The following is a 20,717-nucleotide window of genomic DNA, read 5'->3' on the forward strand; positions in this document are numbered from 1 at the left end:
GTAACAGTTTTATATGAGATTAGGATTCTATTAAGTAAATTCTAAAAAATGGAATACTTAAGGGTAAAAATTGAAGGCGTCTCTGAGATGATAACATACAGTTTCCTGTGGGTCAAAACAGAGCATGGAAAAAAAAAGACAGAGTATGAATACTTAATTTTAAATATCTAAGATTAGATGAATCTACCCAAGTTTTCAAGATCATGACTAGAAGAAAAATGGGACTTCCCAAAATAAAACTCTCCAGGTATATTGCTTTCTAAAATTCACCACATTTCTTATAGTTCTCTATTAAATAGTTGGAGAAGATTTATAGCACAAATGTTTGAGTAAATGAATAAATAGACCATATCTGTTTCATTACTATTAATACTGTAGCAAACTTAGCACGATTTTGGACCAGATGAGTCTTTTGGTGGGGGTGGGGTATCCTGTGCATTGTAGGATGCTTAGCAGCGTCCCTGTCTTCTAACCCTAGATGCCAGTGGCACACCCTCTCCCAGTAATGATGAAAATCAAAATGTCTCCAGATGTGGCCACATGTATACTGTATAAACCACTGGTTTATACTGTCAAGATCAAAAGAAATAGACTAGCTATATGGGCTGGTGTTTGGGTGGAGGAGCAGTGGAATAAGAGGCAATCTTAGATTTATCTGCAGAACAATGAATTTAGAAATCATTGTTGAGAACCCCTGTGTAAAGAGATATTCTTGACCTTTTGGTTAATCCAAAATTGTGTATCTTTGAAAAGCATATACTCTTCATGGGTTATAAAACTAAGCATTTAAATTTGCATAATTAATAATGTAATTATTGACATTATTGCATTGAGTAATACACTTAGTGTTACAAGATTTTGGAAGATTTCAGACAGAAGGCAGTTCTGTTTCCCAGGCTTTGCTCGAAGACTGGGTTGTGCCATTTGCAAATCCAAATTGATTTTGTGTTATTGTCAAGACTCAGTGCACATGCTTACTTGCAGGCCTGTCTCTTAACTACACACTAAGCTTCAGGAGGGTGAGGACTGTATCTGATTATATTCACATAGTAGGTGCTCAAGAAATATTTACTGAATGAGGAAATGATGTACTGCTCACGTGGTTATTCAACAGCATATCAGTTCATTACTTTTTTTTTTTTCAGTTGCTAAGTTGTATAGTAACCCGATCTCTTCTCTACTTTGGATTCTGCTTGCCTTTATTTTGTTATTCCATTCTTGCATCTCATCAAATGTAGACCTTTAGAAAATTTCCTCCATTCCTCTCCTATAAGCATTAACTTCTGATATGGTTTGGCTCTGTGTCCCCACTCAAATCTCATGTTGAATCATAATTCCTAGTATTGGGGAAGGGACTTGGTAGGAGGTGATTTTATCATGAGAGCAGATTTCCTCCATCTGTTCTCATGATAGTGAGTGAATTTTCAAGAGATCTGATGGTTTAAAAGTGTGTGGCACTTCCCCCTTTGCGCATGCTTTCTCTCCTACTGCCATATGAAGACATGCGTGCTTCCCCTTCACTCTTCTGCCATGATTGTAAGTTTCCTGAGGCCTTCCTAGCCATGCCTCTCGTACAGCCTGTGGAACTGTGAGTCAATTAAACATGTTTTCTTTATAAATTACCCAGTCTCCGGTAGTTCTTTATGGCAGTGTGAGAGTGGATTAATACAACTTAAATCCTAGAGCATTTATTTTTTAAAAATCTCCCTGTTTTTCTAACCTCTGTACCCCTGTTATGACCATTACCTGATTACAGAGGCCCTACAGGACTCAATCTTTTTCATGGGCTCCTGGGTTTCTCTGTGCACTTGGTGGACAGCTCTGTAAAGTGTAACTGCGTGAAGCGCTGTGACAGGTTAGAAATGTGTGCCTGTGCACTGACAGGGTCCATGGAGGAGGCAGTGGGGCAGAGGGCACAGGTAGCCTTTGTGTGGAGCAATTCATGAAGTTTTAAACTGCACCAACCTATGCAACTTAGTGGTGTAGTTTAACAGACTGCTTTTTCCAGTGTAGCTGGATGGGACATAGAGAACCAGTTTCCTGTTCTGAAAACTCTGGTTTTAAGCCATTCCTGCCTGAGCACCAGTCCTGCCCTGGTCCTTCCTCCTCAGTGTCCTCAGTGAGGGGGAGGCAGACATCAGCAAAGCTGGAACAGTGGGGCAGTGCTTTGATTGTCATATGGGAATGGAGGCCCTCAAGGATGGGAGCAAAGGGGAGTATGGGGATGGGGGAAAGGTAACTGAGACTTCCGTTAATCCCACCTGAGCATGACAGTATTTTCACCCCATATCTGCAACATTGCCAACTGATTGGACCCTGATTCCAAAGTTTCTAGATGAAATAAAAAGCAGAAGTGGTAGTGAGTTTACCAGAAAATTTGTTCAAGATGAATGCATGGAAAGAGTTTCAGTGATGATTATAGGAAAAGTTTTAGGCTGGGTGTGGTGGCTCACACCTGCAATTCTAGCACTTTGGGAGGCCAAGGCAGGAGGATCACTTGAGTCCAGGAGTTCGAGACCAGCCTGGGCAACATAGGGAGACCCCATCTCTATTTAAAAAAAAAAAAAAAGTTTTAAAAGAGTATCTACATTGCTTAGTCAGAGGTCATTTATGATTTTCTACTAAGGCAAGTACCCCAAATATACTATGAACTTATGGATTTTTTTTTTTTTTGAGACGGAGTCTCACTGTGTCACCCATGCTGGAGTGCAGTGGCACAATCTCGGCTCACTACAACTTCCTCCTCCCAGGTTCAAGTGATTCTCCTGCCTCAGCCTCCTGAGTAGCTGGGATTACAGGCGTGTGCCACCACACCCGGCTAATTTTTTTGTATTTTTAGTAGAGATGGGGTTTCACCATGTTGGCCAGGCTGGTCTTGAACTCCTGACCTCATGATCCGCCCACCTTGGCCTCCCAAAGTGTTGGGATTACAGGCGTGAGCCACCGCACCTGGCCAAATTTATGGACTTAAGGAAGACATTTGATGCACAATTCATCATATTCTTATAAACATGATAAAAACAATTGGCTGATAATTTATAATGAATTACTGGGGTATATCCTATGAGTGATTAATGGGTTTATGCCTGCATAAGTACAGGTCTCTAACATAGGCCATAGGACTCTATGCACAAGTTGCCTTGGTTATTCTTTTTCTCGGGAAATGGGGTAATGGCACAGATGGCATATTGGATGAATTCACACATTCCAGGAAATTGGGAAGGATTGTCAGTATGTTGGATGACAGAACTAAGATCCAAAGTGACCCTGACGATCTAGAATGAAGGCCTCCATCAAATAAGATAAAATATTTAAAAAGAAGAAAAGTTTGAAGCTGTGCTGTTTGGACCCAAAACCTAACTGCCCACTTCTAAGATGGGAGAGATGTTGTTTGTAATTTGGTTTTCCTATCATTGCAGAGTTCTCCGGTATGGTGAGAAGAAAAAATAAGGCTCACAGGACTTAGGGTTTTAGAATTTTTCCTTTTTTTTTTTTCTGGAGCCCAGCTACTTCTGGGTCCCATTCTTTTGCTTGGTATATTGCTAAGCAACAGTGCTTTTTGTAGTGGCAAATCAAAATATTGGTAAAATTCCCTCTTTTTCATCAAGCCTCCTCCTTTTGGTGTTCCTCCTACCTAGAATGGTATTGCAGATTTTTATGGGACTGATTCCCTATCACCATCCAGGTTTTTGACTACTCCATCTATTTTTTTTTTTTCTTTTTCTTTTTAGATAGAGTCTCACTCTGTCACCCAGGCTGGAGTGCAGTGGTGTGATCTTGGCACACTGCAACCTCCACCTCCTGAGTTCAAGCTATTCTCCTGCCTCAGCCTCCTGAGTAGCTGGGATTACAGGCACACGCCACCACACCTGGCTAATTTTGTATTTTTAGTAGAGATGGGGTTTCATCATGCTGGCCAGGCTGGTCTCAAGTGATCCACCCGCCTCAGCCTCCCAAAGTGCTGGGATTGCAGGCGTGAGCCACCACACCCGACCAGCTACTCACCTGTTTCTTTCTGTTCCTACCTGTTGCCTTATTTTCCTTCTTAGACCTTACCATATCCTGAAATCATGCTGTGTTCATTCTGTATCTCTCTCCACTAGAATGCTAGCTCCCAAGAATAGGAACTTTGTCAGTTTTGTACACTTAGCTATCTCTAATGCCTAGAATAGTTCCTGGCAAGTAGTGGGTGCTCTATAAACATTTGTTAAGTGAATTTGTGAATGCGTGAATGAAGAACAGCCACAGAATGTTGGATACACTTAAAGGTATTTTTGTAGCTTCAGCTTCTTCCCCCATTAGCCAAAGAAGTAAAATACTTAAGGTTTTGTGTCTTCTCACATTTATTTGATGGGAAACAAAACAAAATATAGAAGGTGCATTAGAACTTTTTTTCTTTGTTACATTTTCTAGGTTAAGCTCTACCAGATATTTTTTAAATCCGTAGAAGGTATGCAAACCAAAAAATAGATGTCCACAATCTTGATAAGAGCATACACTTGATTTCTTATCATTTGGATAAAAGCTATGTTATTATTACTCAACCCAGTACAATAGTATTTTATCATCTTACACGTGTTTGAGCTTTCAGTCATACTTTAATCACATAATGTGTGATATTTTAAATATTTTTTCTTCCAAGAACACAGTGTTCAAAGAAATACATTGCAGGAAAAACTGTTTTGGCCAGCACGGTGGCTCATGCCTGTAATCCCAACACTTTGGGAGGCCAAGGCGGGCAGATCACTTGAGGTCAGGAGTTCAAGACCAGCCTGGCCAACATGACAAAACCCTGTCTCTACTAAAAATACAAAAATTAGCCGGGCATGGTGGCACACACCTGTAATCTCAGCTACTCAGGTGCCTGAGGCAGGAGAATCGCTTGAACCTGGGAGGCGGAGGTTGCAGTGAGTCAAGATTGCACCACTGCACTCCAGCCTGGGTGACCAAGCGAGACCTTGTCTCAAAAATAAAATAAAATAAAATCTATCTACAAGGTACTGTGCAATGCATTGGGAAACCTAAGGCACTATTTGTTGTTCTCTATTTTCTAGAATTACAGACAGAGAAAAGCATCATGTTTGCAAGAGTTTAGCAAAACAGCTCAGTGCAGAGTGAAGAATACATAAGGCAGGTAGCGGAGACATTCAGGAGAGCCCAGCTGTGGGGACTTTGTGTGCTGGGAAGGACCCTGAATTTGACCTGTATGCTCAGAAGCCTTATCCTGGGGCCTATGGGGGCAGCTTCCCAGGATCCATGAACCACAGTTAAAACAGTTATTTTTTTTTTTTTTTTTTTTTGAGACAGAGTCTTGCTCTGTCACTCAGGCTGGAAGTGCAGTGGCATGATGTCGGCTCTGTGCAACCTCCGCCTCCCAGGTTCAAGAGATTCTCGTGCCTCAGCCACCTGAGTAGCTGGGATTACAGGTGTGTGCCACCACGCCTGGCTAATTTTTGTATTTTTAGTAGAGACGGGATTTTGCCATGTTGTCCAGGCTGGTCTCGAACTCCTGACCTCAGGTGATCCACCCACCTTGGCCTTCCAAAGTGCTGGGATTACAGGTGTGAGCTACCGCACCCAGCCCGCTCTTTAGGCTCTCCATTTACCTTGTTTGATTAAGCACAATTATTTTAGGCCTCCCATTTATATAATTTGAATAAATGGCATTCCCAAATCACTGAAGATGTTTAATCAGAAGTCTCAAAGCTCCTTTACGAGATTATCAAAGATACACTTGTTCCGTAGAATGGACCGTGGGATGCACAATAGATGCGACTTCCATTCTAACCATAACATTAGCTGTAGATTTCTTTGTTTTTCTACTTCGGAAAACAGTATACTCATATTTTTTAAACTTAAAAACTCATTGTTGGTTGGTGTATTAAGCAAGTACCATATTTACTTGTTCAGAAATATTTGCTAGTGCTTTCTGTATAAGAGTGCTGCTCTGGGGGTCATGAGAGTGGAGCAGTGAACAAAATAAAGTCGGCCCACATTCTGGTGGGGGCAGACAATAACAAATTAATGTATAATATGATAGGGTTCATGAGGGAAAATAAAGCAGTAAAAAGAAATAGAGAATGTTTGAGGAGGAGGCCTATTTTATATGGAGTGGTCAGGCTGACTGTTTTCATAGGGTAACATTTGACTGACACGTGAGTAAAGTAAGCCAGCCCTGTGTGAAAACATTTGGGATATGGCTGAGAGAATAAGAAATGCAAAGTTCTTAAGGAGGTTATTTGCTAGGTGACAAAAAACAATTAAGTGTGTTCCTAGAGGATAAATAAGATAATGCAGATAAACAAAAAGTAGAAATAAGAAATTGTCTGCAGAGGTAATCGCGATTTGGTTTATAGTCTTCCAAATTTTTCCAGTTTGTATGAAACGCTACCTGTCTACCCTCATAACTGGGTCATCTCAGCTTTCTCCCTCAACCCCAAATCTTCTGGGTTTCTTTTTCCTTTTGTTTTTGTTTTTGATACAAGGTCTCACTCTGTTGCCCAGGCTAGAGTACAGTGGTGACATCACTCCTCACTGTGATCATCCTCACCGACTCTAGTGATCCTCCTGCCTCAGCCTTCCGAGTAGTTGAGATTACAGGCGTGCTCCACCAAGCCTGGCTAATGGAGTTTCACCATGTTGCCCAAGCTGGTCTTGAATTCTTGGGGCTCAAGGAGTCCATCTGCCTCAGTCTCCCAGAGTGCTGGATCTACAGGCATGAGCACCTGCGCCTGGCCAATATTCTGCTTTTAAACAATAAACCATTATAACACAGCTTAAATTCCTCTCCATAGATAACCATGGTGTTGAATCCTATATATTATACCTTATGCATTATCTTTTTATAGTGTGTGTGTGAGGATGTGTATAGACAATATATGTGGACATACCCACACACATGTCTATATATGATAGTTATACTGTGCTTACTATATATACATGTTTCAACATATGATCTATTGTGGTGAGACTAAAGGAGCTTTCTTTAGTTTATTTGGGCAAATATAAGGAGAAAATACTAGCCTTTAATTTCTTAACATGATAATTGTATAATATGCTACCGACAACTAGGAAGAACATAAGAAGTAAAGTCCAAAAATGTTGTCCCCACCATACTTCTCAAGCTTATTATGTGAACCTTTCTAAATAGAAATCAAAATTAATTGCTAGGAAGTTTGTTGTAAATATTTAAATAAATTATGGCAATCTGTACCCTTTACCTGCTGGTAAAAAATTGGCAAAATTTCTTAACCTCAGTTTTCCTATCTATAAAATATGGTTGATAGTGTCTTTTCTTTCTAACTCATAGTTTGATGTGAGAATTAAATGAACAAGTATAGGCCAGGTGTGGCAGCTCACGCCTGTAATCTCAGCACTTTGGAAGGCTGAGGCAGGTGGATCACCTGAGGTCAGGAGTTCGAGACCAGCCTGGCCAACATGACAAAACCCTGTCTCTACTAAAAATACAAAAATTATTGTATTTTTGCATGCAACACAACACCTGTAGTCCCAGCTACTCAGGAGGCTGGGGCAGGGAGAACTGTATGAATCCGGGAGGCGGAGGTTGCAGTGAGTCAAGATCACACGACTGCACTCCAGCCTGGGCAACAGAGAGAGACTCCGTCTCTTAAAAAAAAAAAAAAAAAAAGAATGTAAAAGAATTCTGAAATTTATAAACAAAACCCTTTTAAAAATAGAAGTGATTTAATATGGTTTATTTGTTATTCTGTGGAGGTTTTTTTTTTTTTTAAATCAGTGAAATGTCAGAGTACTTATTAGGAAAGCTTAAGTTGATAAGAGAAAATGTGTAGTAAGATTAGATTTTTTAGTAATATTAATATTGCATAAATGCCATTTTTTTTTAGTGAGGCCACTGAAAATTGTAACCGACTTCTGTTGAACAATTCCTATATTCCTTCCTTCTTTATTTTTCACCATTGTACCTATCATCATCTGATATATTAAAGCCTTTATTTATTTACTTTAATATTTTCAGTCTCCTACCTGGAAGAGTCCCCTCCCATAGTAGGTGCCCATACCTAGTTGTTGAATGACTAAAGGAGAATGAGTGCCTCTTGTGTTCACTGTCATCTGGATTTGCTCTTCAGGCATGATCCCGAATGATGTCCAAGGTCCTAGCTTGCTCATTGACCTTCCTGTTGTGGCTCAAAGGAGGGAGCAAGAAGATTTGCCTTTATATCAACACCAAGCGACACGAGTTATTTCCAAGGCCTCAGCATACACAGGAATGTTGTCTTCTAGATATGCCACTGATACATGGTATGATATCATTTCTCTTTGTTTTCACATTATAAAATAGTGGTTTTTTTTTTTTTTTTTTTTTTGCTTAAAAAATGCGTGATTTTGGTAGAACGTTTGGAAAATACAGAAAAATATTATGAATAAAATCCACTATATTTGACAATTACTATGAGAATTTCATATACTTAAAATTTTGCCATATGTACAATTTTGTATCTTGCAGTGGTGCACAAAATGGATTAGAGTATCTGCTTAGAGAATGGGAGGTTAATTCAGAGTTTAACAACTCAAGCAGATGCACTTGAGGACAAATTAAAAGAAGACCAATTTAAGAGTGAGGAAATCTACAGGAATCCCTTGACTCATTACATGTTGAGTGTAAAAGGGGGTAGTTGAGGATGACTTGTGTTTTTGGACTAGGAAACTAGATAGATATGAGAAATTAGTGCTTCAATATAATATTATAGGAGCATGAACAGGTTGGAAGGGAAAATGATGAGTTCAGTTTGGAACATGTTGATGGTTAAAGTAGCCATAGAACAACAAAGTTAAATGTAATCAATTAGATATGTGGGTCTGGGAATTAATGTTGAGGTCTGTCTGGACATGGGTAATTGGGAGCAAGATTAAGCGTAGGTGAAACTCTTGGATTTGAATGGTCATCAACACGAAGCTTAAACAATAAGGCAAGCATAGGGTCAAGATTGGAGTCCTGGCATAGGCATGGGCAAGGACTTCATGTCTAAAACACCAAAAGCAATGGCAACAAAAGCCAAAATTGACAAATGGGATCTAATTAAACTAAAGAGCTTCTGCACAGCAAAAGAAACTACCATCAGAGTGAACAGGCAACCTACAGAATGGGAGAAAATTTTCGCAACCTACTCATCTGACAAAGGGCTAATATCCAGAATCTACAATGAACTCAAACAAATTTACAAGAAAAACACAAACAACCCCATCAAAAAGTGGGCAAAGGATATGAACAGACACTTCTCAAAAGAAGACATTTATGCAGCCAAAAGACACGAAAAAATGCTCATCATCACTGGCCATCAGAGAAATGCAAATCAAAACCACAATGAGATACCATCTCACACCAGTTAGAATGGCAATCATTCAAAAGTCAGGAAACAACAGGTGCTGGAGAGGATGTGGAGAAATAGGAACACTTTTACACTGTTGGTGGGACTATAAACTAGTTCAACCACTGTGGAAGTCAGTGTGGCGATTCCTCAGGGATCTAGAACTAGAAATACCATTTGACCCAGCCATCCCATTACTGGGTATATACCCAAAGGACTATAAATCATGCTGCTATAAAGACACATGCACACATATGTTTATTGTGGCACTATTCACAATAGCAAAGACTTGGAACCAACCCAAATGTCCAACAATGATAGACTGGATTAAGAAAATGTGACACATATACACCATGGAATATTATGCAGCCATAAAAAATGATGAGTTCATGTCCTTTGTAGGGACATGGATGAAATTGGAAATCATCGTTCTCAGTAAACTATCGCAAGGAGAAAAAACCAAACACTGCATGTTCTCACTCATAGATGGGAATTGAACAATGAGAACACATGGACACAGGAAGAGGAACATCACACTCTGGGGACTGTTGTGGGGTGGGGGGATGGGGGAGTGATAGCATTAGGAGATATACCTAATGCTAAATGACGAGTTAATGGGTGCAGCACACCAGCATGGCACATGTATACATATGTAACTAAACTGCACATTGTGCACATGTACCCTAAAACTTAAAGTATAATTAAAAAAAAAAAGATTGGAGTCCTGGAAAACAGCAATACTTAAGGCATGAACAGAGGAAGAAAGGAGTGAGCTGGAATGAACAAAAGGTAGGAGAAAATGAGTGAACTAGATTGACTTAGAAATCAAAGGAAGAGAACATTTTAACAAAAGTGTCCTCACAGGCTATGTTCACATGCTAATAGGGTCAATGTAGATAAGACAAAGAAGTTTTCCCGGGGCTTGGCCACATGGATGCCCTTGGTAAGCATTGAACATTGTTAGTAGAGTAGATTTCAGAGAGTTGTGTATTGAGAATTGAACACAAGGTTAAAAATTGGACACAGAAAGAGCTGACTAGTGTTTTGAAAATCCTGGTCATGGGCTGGGCCTGGTGGCTCATGCCTGTAATCCCAGCACTTTGGGAGGCTGAGGTGGGTAGATCACCTGAGGTCAGGAGTTCGAGACTAGCCTGGCCAACATGGTGAAACCTCATCTCTACTAAAAATACAAAAATTAGCCAGGCATGGTGGTGTGCACCTGTAACCCCAGCTACTCTGGTGGCTGAGGCAGGAAAATCACTTGAACCTGGGAGGTGGAGGTTGCAGTGAGCCGAGATCGTGCCACTGCACTCCAGCCTGGGCAACAGAGCAAGACCCCATCTCAAAAAAAAAAAATTAGCCTGTTGTGATAGCATGCACCCGTAGTCCCAGCTACTAGGGAGGCTGAGGTGGGAGGACCGTTTAAGGCTGGAAGGTTGATGCAGCAATGAGCTATAATTGTGCCACTGCACTCCAGCCTGGGTGACATAGCGAGACCCTGTCTCAAAAAAAAAATACATGTTACTTAGATAACTAGATGGTATTAATGTATCAAGGCAATGGGAAAATATATATATGTGTATATATATAATGTATATAAGACATACAACATTTATATTATATATTACTACATTCATATGTATATCAAACTGAAGAGAATTTTCTTTGCTTGTGGAATATGCAGATGCCATAAAGGGGGTGATTAAATATAGTCTGTGGAGATGGTGGAGGGAGGAGAGAACATTGCACACTTGGAATCACCTTGGATAGTTTGATAGGAGGAAGCTCACCTCCTCCACTAAGATAGGTGCCAGGAAGGAAAGGAAGGTCTGGATGTAGGTACTTTTTATAGCTTGAGAGCAGGAATCCAAAGAGATTCTTGTCCAATGATGATGTTTGTTTGTTTCTGTCACTTCGGGAGAAGATTATTTACTACTAAGAGTGATGAAGTGCTAATAAAGTAGGCATTAAAAGGAAAGGTGTTGGAGCAGAGATTAGCTTTTGAAAGAGTGGTAGGAGAGTAACCACCTAGTGGTAGGGAGTTTTGAAAAATATTTACCCTCTTTTTCCAATGCCCCAGGGAGTGAGAGAATGAGCTTCACCCACTTGAGTGTGGTATACTTGGCAGAGAACCAGAGCTGTTGAAGAGGAGGTTCAGAGAACATTCAGTGAAGAGGTCAGGGTGTGGATAGTTTTGTTTATAATTCTAGCAGATTCCATGCAGCATGATGGATGATGTGCATGGCAGGTCTTGGGGTGCGGCGTGACAAAGGAAGCACATTTGAAGGAAAACCCAGAAAGGTGTGGCATTATGAGTAGGGAGATAAGAAGTGCACAAAGGAGTTGGAGCTTTCAGCAAAACATAACAGGGATGATAGATAGGGTGGGCTTAATTGGCTTTAAACATTTTTATTAAAACCTTAATCCAAGTGTGATTTTTGTGTTGACATGGGAGATATCTTAGATTTAGATGATGTGCATTTCTCTGTTCAGCAACCTGAAATTTTACCCAGAGTTTTAGATAGAAACTTCATCAAAAGTTCTCTGTGCTTCTGCATAGCCCATATCTGAGTGGAAGGAAGAGATACAGAAAGGCCCAACAGCTTTTCTACTCTGCAAAAGCCAGGCCGGTATGCAGAGGGAGAGTGCTGCCAGGCCCGGTGTCCTAATGTGATATCCGGTGCAGCCTCTGGGGAAACGCACAGTGATAAATAAGCAAAGGATTTGTTTCCTTAGGACAGATGCCTGGAAGTGGAGAAGTTAGAAACATATTTTATGGCTTTTTATTTAGTCAAAATTTTTTTCTTCTTTTTATTTTTGAGACAGGGTCTTACTCTGTTGCCCAGGCTGGAGTGCAGTGGGACCATCTCAGCTCACTGCAACCTCCGCTTCCCAGGTTCACACCATCCTCCCACCTCAGCCTCCTGAGTAGCTGGGACTGCAGGCATGTGCCACCAAGCATGGCTAATTTTTGTACTTTTTTTTTTTCTTTTCGTAGAGATGGTGTCTCGCCATGTTGGCCAGGCTGGTCTGAAACTCCTGGGCTTAAGCAATCTGCCTGCCTCAGCCTCCCAAAGTGTTCAAATTATTTTTCCATTGTTTTTTAAATTTCTCTTTTGCTTAGTGTGAATAGTTGAATCTGGCAGAAGAATGCAGAAATGAGACTGCTTCTCTAAACTGTAGAATTGTAACTGTAGAATGTGAAGAATCAGAAAAGATCTAAGCAAACTTCTAAGTCCACCCCTCCTTTCTTGGACAGAAGAGAAAGTGGAGCATCAGTTGTTCTTACTCAATTTGACCCCAGCTTCAGAGAGGGAAGATATACTTTGTTCTTATCCCATTGCTTTTTCTTTCAAAATGAGTATTTGACAAGCTGATTTCTTATGCAGGCACAGGCATTTAAGGACTCCAACCTAACCTTGTCTTAGGAGATTAGCCTTGCACTTGAAAGTTGTTTTTTTGGCTTGCTATTGGAGATTTAGGGTATATTTAAATCCCAGCAGGTTCCAGAAGAGTTCTTGTAAATCATATTCCTTCTTTTAATCTTTAAGGGTATGCCCCATGGAGTTAGGTTCATAGGTGAATATTTATTGCCACTCAGGAGCCTGCCTGAGTAATGCATAGATTATTTTAGATGATAGTCTTTCAGAAAATCAGGGTGTCATGAAGTGCTAAATGGTATTTTACAGTTTCTTCCTTGCATTAATTTTTGTGTACGACCCAGCAGAGTTGTGTGTCTACGTGCGTGTGAGTGCACCAAGGGTAAGTATCTAATGATTGTGATGTTTTATCTACAGTGCACTTTTGCACTAACTTCTCCTTACCTTAGGAGGTAGGACTGGTATTAAGAGGTCAGGTGCCCCTTGAAAGGAGAGATCTCTAGAAAGGGGACTGTGGGCAGGCAGGGTATAATTCTGTGGAAGGAATTCAGGTGTTCTGGTTCAGAGCACAGTAGTCCCTTCTTATCTTCAAGGGATATGTTCCAAGAACCCCACTGCGTGCCTGAAACCACAGACAGTACCAAGCCCTATATATACTGTCTTTTCTGTACGTACATACTTATGATGAAGTTTAATTTATAAATTACGTACAGTAAGAGATTAACAACAATAACTGGTAATCAAATAGATCAGTACTGCAGCAGTTGATCTGATAACTGAGATGGCTACTGAGTGACTTCTGCGCAGGCAGCATATATAGCGTATGGATATGCTGGGCAAAGAGATGATTCACATCCCAGGCTGGACAGCAAGATATTTCTTCATGCTACTCTGAATGGCATGCAATTTAAAACCTATGAATTGTTTATTTCTGAAATTTACCATTTAAGATTTTTGCCATTACTGCAGTTGACCACAGCTAACTGATACCAAGGAAAGCAAAACTGCAGAAAGCAATACCTTAGCTGAGTGGAGGGGACTACTGTATCCTTCTTTGTTCCTAAGGTCACTTGAGATCGTGTTTTCAGACCTCGCCTGGTTTCAGTCTTTTTCTTCCTCATCTCGGTTATTTTTGGCTGTTTAAAGACCTATGGGTGCCCCTAGGGGGGACATGGACATTTCTCAGACATTAGGAGGTCTGTGGTGTGGATGTATTATGAGTGATGTTCATATCTTTCTTCTGCTGTTTATACCTGTATGACCCTGAAAGGGTTTCCTTTGTATCTATCTTTTGTCACCCGTAAAGTAGGTAGTTCTGTAGATTGAATAAAAATTCATACAGGCCAGGCGTGGTGGCTCACGCCTGTAATCCCAGCACTTTATGTGGCCAAGGTGGGAGAATCGCTTGAGGCCAGGAGTTCAAGACGAGCCTGGGCAACATAGTGAAAACCTGCTGCTACAAAAAAATAAAAAGTAAGCCTGATATGTTGGTGCATGCCTGTAGTCCTAACTATTCTGGGGGCCTAGGAGGGAGGATCTCTTGAGCCCAGCAGTTCGAGGTTATAGCAAGCTATGATTATACCACTGCACTCCAGCCTGGCAAACACAGTGAGACCTGGTCACTATTTTTTATTGGTTTTTTTTTCCTTCTTCTTCTTTGAGACAAGTTCTTGCTTTGTCACCCAATCTGGAGTGCAGTGATGTGATCACAGCTCACTGCAGCCTTGACCTCCCAGGTTCAAGCAATCCTCCCACCTCAGCCTCCCAAATAGCTGGGATCACAGGCACCTGCCACCATGACTGGCTAATTTTTTTATTTTCTGTAGAGATAAGATCTCACTATGTTACCCAGGCTGGTCTAAACTCCTGGCCTCAAGCAATCCTCCCACCTTGGCCTCCCAAAGTGCTGGGATTACAAGTGTGAGCCATAGCACCTGGCCTATTATTTTTTTTAAAGTACATGTAAAACATTTATACAATTTTATTTGTCAACTAAAAGTCAATAAAGCTGGGAAAGGATGCATTTAACAGGCTTAATATAACAGCCTTGCCAATAGTAAACGTTTAATAGAAGGTTTGCAGTGATGTTGGTGGCAGTGACAATGATAGGCTCATGGGCCCTGACATATACCCAGGGTAGTATTCATTGTTGCTGGGTTTATTAAAAGACTCAAGGAGGTTGTTGATTAACAAAAAAAAAAATGTAATAGGATCAAATCACAGTAAAGCAATGTGTCAGAGGCTGATGTCTGGGAGGATGGTGAACTTTAGAAGAAAGACATATTTAAAATGGAAAAAAAAATTATAGGTGTAATAGGATGCAAATGAGTAGAGATGGCTTCAGGTATTGGACACTTTGTTAGGAATAGTGGGAGGAGAAATAGGAGGCTAGGTGTCATAGTTGGGTAAAGGATTAACTAAGTTAACGTGATATTTTAAGCTCCCAACACAGTGCCTGGCATTTAGTGCCTTCTACATAAATGGTGGATATTTAATAGGTTTACATTTGAATTAAACTGCCAAAACTTACATGTAAATTCAGAACATCAGGAGGAGATGGAAGAAAAGGGAGAGAATGAATATTTGCATTTCAGAGAGAGGGCTACTCTGGAGTGTGAGTTGGGAGAGAAAAGGGGGTGTTTGTGGGAGTCTGTGGCCTCGAGCACGTGACACTTCTAGGTTCTTACAGTGCTGTTGCAGCGGTGGCCCACACTGCAGATGAAGGCGAATGTGAACAATTAGGACAAGAGGTACATAGAAATACTACACTAATGCCTTTGAAAATATAATTAGATCTTTGATTACTAATTCAGGCTCTACAGAAGGCCAGAAGAGACGTAATGTTCTGGAAGCAACTTACCCTGTATGGCTTGAACTTCTGTTTCTTAAGGAAGCTCTTAAACACCATTTTACATATTAATAAAATGCACACATTTTAAGGTACAGCCTACTAAGATATGTATACATTCATGTAATATACACTCCAATGAAGATAAGGAACATTTCCATCACCCAGAAAGTCCTCCTGCCCCTTTGTGTGTCTTGCACCAGGCAACCACTAATCTTATTTCTAATACTGTAAATTAGTTTTTCCTGTTTTAGAACACATGTACATGTAGTCATACAGTAGCTACTTTTTTTATGTCTACCTTCTTTTACTCAAGACAATGTCTGAATGTTAATGCAAGGAAATGCCTAATTCTTTATATACTGGTGTCAGGTAATAATTTGCTCTGCAACTTCAAAATCATGGCAGAACATCTGTACAAATAACCCTACTAGTTTAGAAGACACTAGTGCCCATTCTTTTTGGTTCCAGTTGCTCACATTCCCTGTGGTATATCATAGAATATTGCCATATAGAATGTGTATTTAAGGAGGAAAAAAAATTGTGAGATTACTTAGTCACAATTGGAGCTCTCCCTGCTTCCATCATTTTTGGGTGCTGAGTTTACTTGACCTTCATACTGCTTAGTATGTAGAAATTTTATGTGAAATTAAGTACTACTGAAGAGGAAAGGTCACCTTGGCTGTCTGGAGTCATCAGATTTTGTATGATGAACATTTTATTTGCAAAGAGTTTGTATATCATGAAGTCTTACCATTAATATCCACTTGTTTGCTCATGGGGTACTCTATCTCCACCCACCCCCCCAAATCTGTAAAGAATTATAACTTTAGGCATTTGTGATAAAGGCCTGAAATAAAACACATTGTTTCAATTGGATGGTTAATTCCTTTGGGGAAAAATTTGGTTATAAATCTCTGGTTGAATTTAAGAGGCAAAAGTTCAGTTCATTTTTAAGACTTTATTTCTTTAAAGCAGTATTTGGTTCACAGCAAAATTGAGAAGAAGGTACAGCGAGGATACCCCCTACCCCCACATGCATAGCCTCCCCTATTGTCAATATCGCCCACCAGGGTGGCACGTTTGTTACAATTGATAATATTGATAAACTGACACATCATCTTCACCCAGAGTCCATAGTTTAGATTAGGTTTCACTCTTGGTGTTGTATGTTCTGTAGGTTTGGAAAGTTCTGTTATTTTAAGATTTGAGTTTCTAACTGATTGAGCTATTGATCATACTTAGTGACAGTGCAAATTATAAAATTTGAGGTTAGAAATTCCTTGTTAAAGTTTCAAATATGTTTGTGCAAATTTACATCTTAATATGTACAGTAAGAATATTTCACTTTCTCGGTTAAATTTAAATTTGGGTTAAAAGGTACATATGTTCATCAGTATAAAGTGACTACATTAATTTGTTTAATTGCTCATCTCCTGTGACTGTATTTCTGAAACTACTCACACTATCTAGATAAGCTTTCACAAGTTTTATCTCTCGTTAGGTATGAACTCATCTGAATAAAATGTGTGTATACTAAAACCTAGAAGAAAGGTAATATGCTCTGAGTTTCTTCCAACAGACTAATCATTTTGTGACATACTTTGTCAAAGAAATCTAAAATTGTTCATATTCTAGATAGAGTGGTTTCCCCCACCCCTTCTCCTAAATTGTATGTGAGAGTTGGCAATTTAGGAAATTTTTAGTTTTTACTTTTTAAAATTAAGAAACAAATAGCCCATACTATTTGTTGAAGGTTGCTTTCCCTTCTATTTTAGGGTGTTTTTTTTTTTTTTTCGCCAATTAAAGAATTTAGGCCAGGTGTGGTGGCTCATGCCCATGATCCCAACACTTTGGGAGGCTGAGGCAGGAGGATTGCTTGAGTCCAGGTGTTTGAAAGCAGTCTGGGCAACATAATGAGACCCCGTATCTACAAAAGGTAAAAAAAATTAGCCGGGCATGGTAGTGCATGCCTGTGGTCCCAGCTACCTGGTGAGGCTGCAGTGAGCTGTGATTGTGCCACTGCACTCCAGCCTGGGTAACAGAGTGGAACTCTGCTCAAAAAGCAAAACAACAAAACAAGAGAAAAAAAAAAAGAAGTGAATGCCTATAATGATAGCATAAAGGTGTCATGGTGAAATACCTGCCTTTTTTTTTTTCCTTAATGCCTATATGATTTGGGGTACAGGAAGGTGGAAAATGGAGAGGAGGAAGGTTTGTATTGTTTTAGGTTTTGTTTTGAATCTTATTTCAATTAATATTTAACAGAAGGCCGGGCATGTGGCTCATGCCTGTTATCCTAGCACTTCGGGAGGCTGAGGCGGGCAGATCACCTGAGGTCAAGAGTTCAAGACCAGCCTGGCCAACATGGAGAAACCCCATCTCTACTAAAAATACAAAATTAGCCGGGCTTGGTGGTGCATGCCTGTAATCCCAGCTACTCGGGAGGCTGAGGCAGGAGAATGGCTTGAACCTGGGAGGTGGAGGTTGCAGTGAGCGAAGATTGTGCCATTGCACTCCAGCCTGGGCAACAAGAGCGAAACTCTATCTCATAAAAAAAAAAAAACACAAAAAAAAAACAGAGAATTCTAAAATACAGCAGAGCATGAAGATATTCCTTGCAGTAATGTCCATATTATAAAAGACAAGGTACAATCTGATATGGGTTGGCTCTGTGTCTCTACCCAAATCTCATCTCAAATTGTAATCCCCATGTGTCAGGAGAGGGACCTCATGGGAGGTGATTGGATCGTGGGGGCGGTTTCCCCATGCTGTTCTCATGATAGTGAGGGAGTTCTCACAAGATCTGATGATGTAAAAGTGGCAGTTTCCCCTACACTGTCTCTTTCCTGCCAACATGTAAGATGTGCCTTGCTTCCCCTTTGCCTTCCACCATGATTTTAAGTTTCCTGAGACCTCCCCAGCCATGTGGAACTTTGAGTAAATTAAACCTCTTTTCTTTATAAATTACCCAGTCTCAGGTAGTATCTTTATAGAGTGTGACAGTGGACTAATAGAATTGGTCCCAGCAGAGTGGAGTACTGCTATAAAGATAACCTGAAAATGTAGAAGCGACTTTGGAACTGGCTAACAGGCAGAGGTTGGAATGATTTGGAGGGCTCAGAAGCTGACAGGAAGATGTGGGAAAGTTTGGAACTTCCTAGAGACTTGTTGAATACTTTTGACCAAATGCTGATAGTGATATGGACAATGAAGTCCAGGCTGAGTTGGTCTCAGATGGAGATGAGGAATTTATTGGGAAGTGGAGCAAAGGTCACTCTTGCTATGCTTTAGCAAAAAGACTGGCAGCATTTTGCCCCTGCCTTAGAGATCTGTGGAACTTTGAACTTGAGAGAGATGATTTAGGGTATCTGGCAGAAGAAATTTCTAAGCAGCAAAGCATTGAAGAGGTGACCTGGCTTGTGTTCACAAAGAGATGGTTTGAAATTGGAACTTATATTTAAAAGGGAAGCAGAGCATAAAGGTGTAGAAAATTTGCAGCCTGACCATGTGGTAGAAAAGAAAAACCCATTTTCTGGGGAGGAATTCAATCTGGCTGCAGAAATTTGCATAAGTAACAAGGAACTGAATGTTAATAGCCAAGACGGGGAAAATATCTCCAGGGCATGTCAGAAATCTTTGTGGCAGCTCCTCCCATCACAGTCCCAGAGGCCTAGGAGTGAAAAATGGTTTTGTGGGCCAGGCCCAAGGCCCTGCTACTCTCTGCAGCCTTGGGACTTTGTACCCTGCATTCCAGGTGTTCCAGCTCCAGCTGTGGCTAAAAGGCGCCAAGGTACAGCTCAGGCTGTTGCTTCAGAGGGTGCAAGCCCCAAGCCTTGGTGGCATCCATGTGGTGTTGGGCCTGAGAGTGCACAGAAGACAAGAGTTGAGCTTTGGGAGCCTCTGCCTAGATTTCAGAGGATGTATGAAAATGTCTGGATGTCCAGGCAGAAGTCAACTCGGGCAGAGCCCTCATGGAGAATCTCTACCAGGGCAATGTAGAGGAAAAATGCAGGATTGAAGCCCCTAAATGGAGTCCCCATGGGGGCACTGCCTTGTGGAGCTATGAGAAGAGGGCCACGATCTTCCAGACCCCAGAATGGTATCTCCACTGGCAGCTTGCATATGCAGCTGGAAAAGCTGTAGGCACTCACCTCCAGCTTGTGAAAGCAGCCATGGGGGCTGTACCTTGCAGAGCCACAGGGACAGAGCTGCCCAAGGCCTTGGGAGTCCACCCCTTGAATCAGCATTTCTTGGATGTGAGACATGGAGTCAAGGGAGATCATTTTGGAGCTTTAAGATTTAATGATTATGGCCAGGCGGTTGCTGACGCCTATAATCCCAGCACTTTGGGAGGCTGAGGCAGGCAAATCACCTGAGGGCAGAAGTTTGAGACCAGCCTGACCATCATGGTGAAACCCTGTCTCTACTAAAAATACAAAAATTAGCCAGGTGTGGTGGTGTGCACTTGAAATCCCAGCTACGTGGGAGGCCAAGTCAGGAGAATCACTTGAACTGGGAGGTGGAGGTTGCAATGACCCAAGATTGCACCACTGCACTCCATCCTGGGCGACAGAGGGAGACTCCATCTCAAAAAAAAAAAAAATTTAATGACTACCCCACTAGGTTTTGGACTTACATGGGGCCTGTGGCTCCTTTGTTTTGGCCAGTTTCTCCCATTTGGAGAACATTAGGAATGAAAACATTTACCCAATGCCTGTACCCCCATTGTATCTTGGGAATAACTAACTTGTTTTTGATTTTACAGGCTTCTAGGTGGAAAGGACTTGCCTTGTCTGAGATGAGACTTTGGACTTGGACTTTTGGGTTAATGCTAAAATGAGTTAAGACTTTGGGAGACTGTTGGGATGGCATGATTGCTTATAAAATGTGAAAAGTACATGAGAGTTGGAAGGAGCCAGGGTGGAATGATATGGTTTGGCTCCATGTACCCACCCAAATTTCATCTCAAATTGTATTTCCCATGTGTCAGGTGAGGGACCTGATGAGAGGTGATTGGATCATGGGGGAAGTTTTCACATGTTGTTCTCATGAGAGTGAGGGAGTTCTCACGAGATCTGATGATTTAAAAGTGGCAGTTTCCCCTGTGCACTCTCTCCTGCTGCCACATACACCTTCCTT

General features: G+C 41.0%; 1 protein-coding gene across 23 annotated transcripts in view; it reads left to right on the top strand.

The window, feature by feature from the left end:
* Nucleotides 1-20,717, top strand: part of PATJ (PATJ crumbs cell polarity complex component) — a 421,436-nt gene that overhangs the window by 133,649 nt on the left and 267,070 nt on the right. For all 23 annotated transcript variants that reach the window (XR_007061928.1, XM_011540462.4, XM_011540467.4 and 20 more), the window contains one exon: nt 8,109-8,280. Coding sequence is in view for 22 of the 23 variants with exons in the window: in XM_011540462.4 (XP_011538764.1) it covers nt 8,109-8,280 (172 nt within the window). In the remaining variant the exon portion in view is untranslated. The remainder of the gene's footprint in view (nt 1-8,108; nt 8,281-20,717) is intronic.

Source organism: Homo sapiens, chromosome 1 (genome assembly GCF_000001405.40).
Source record: "Homo sapiens chromosome 1, GRCh38.p14 Primary Assembly".
Classification (NCBI taxonomy): Eukaryota; Metazoa; Chordata; class Mammalia; order Primates; family Hominidae; genus Homo; species Homo sapiens.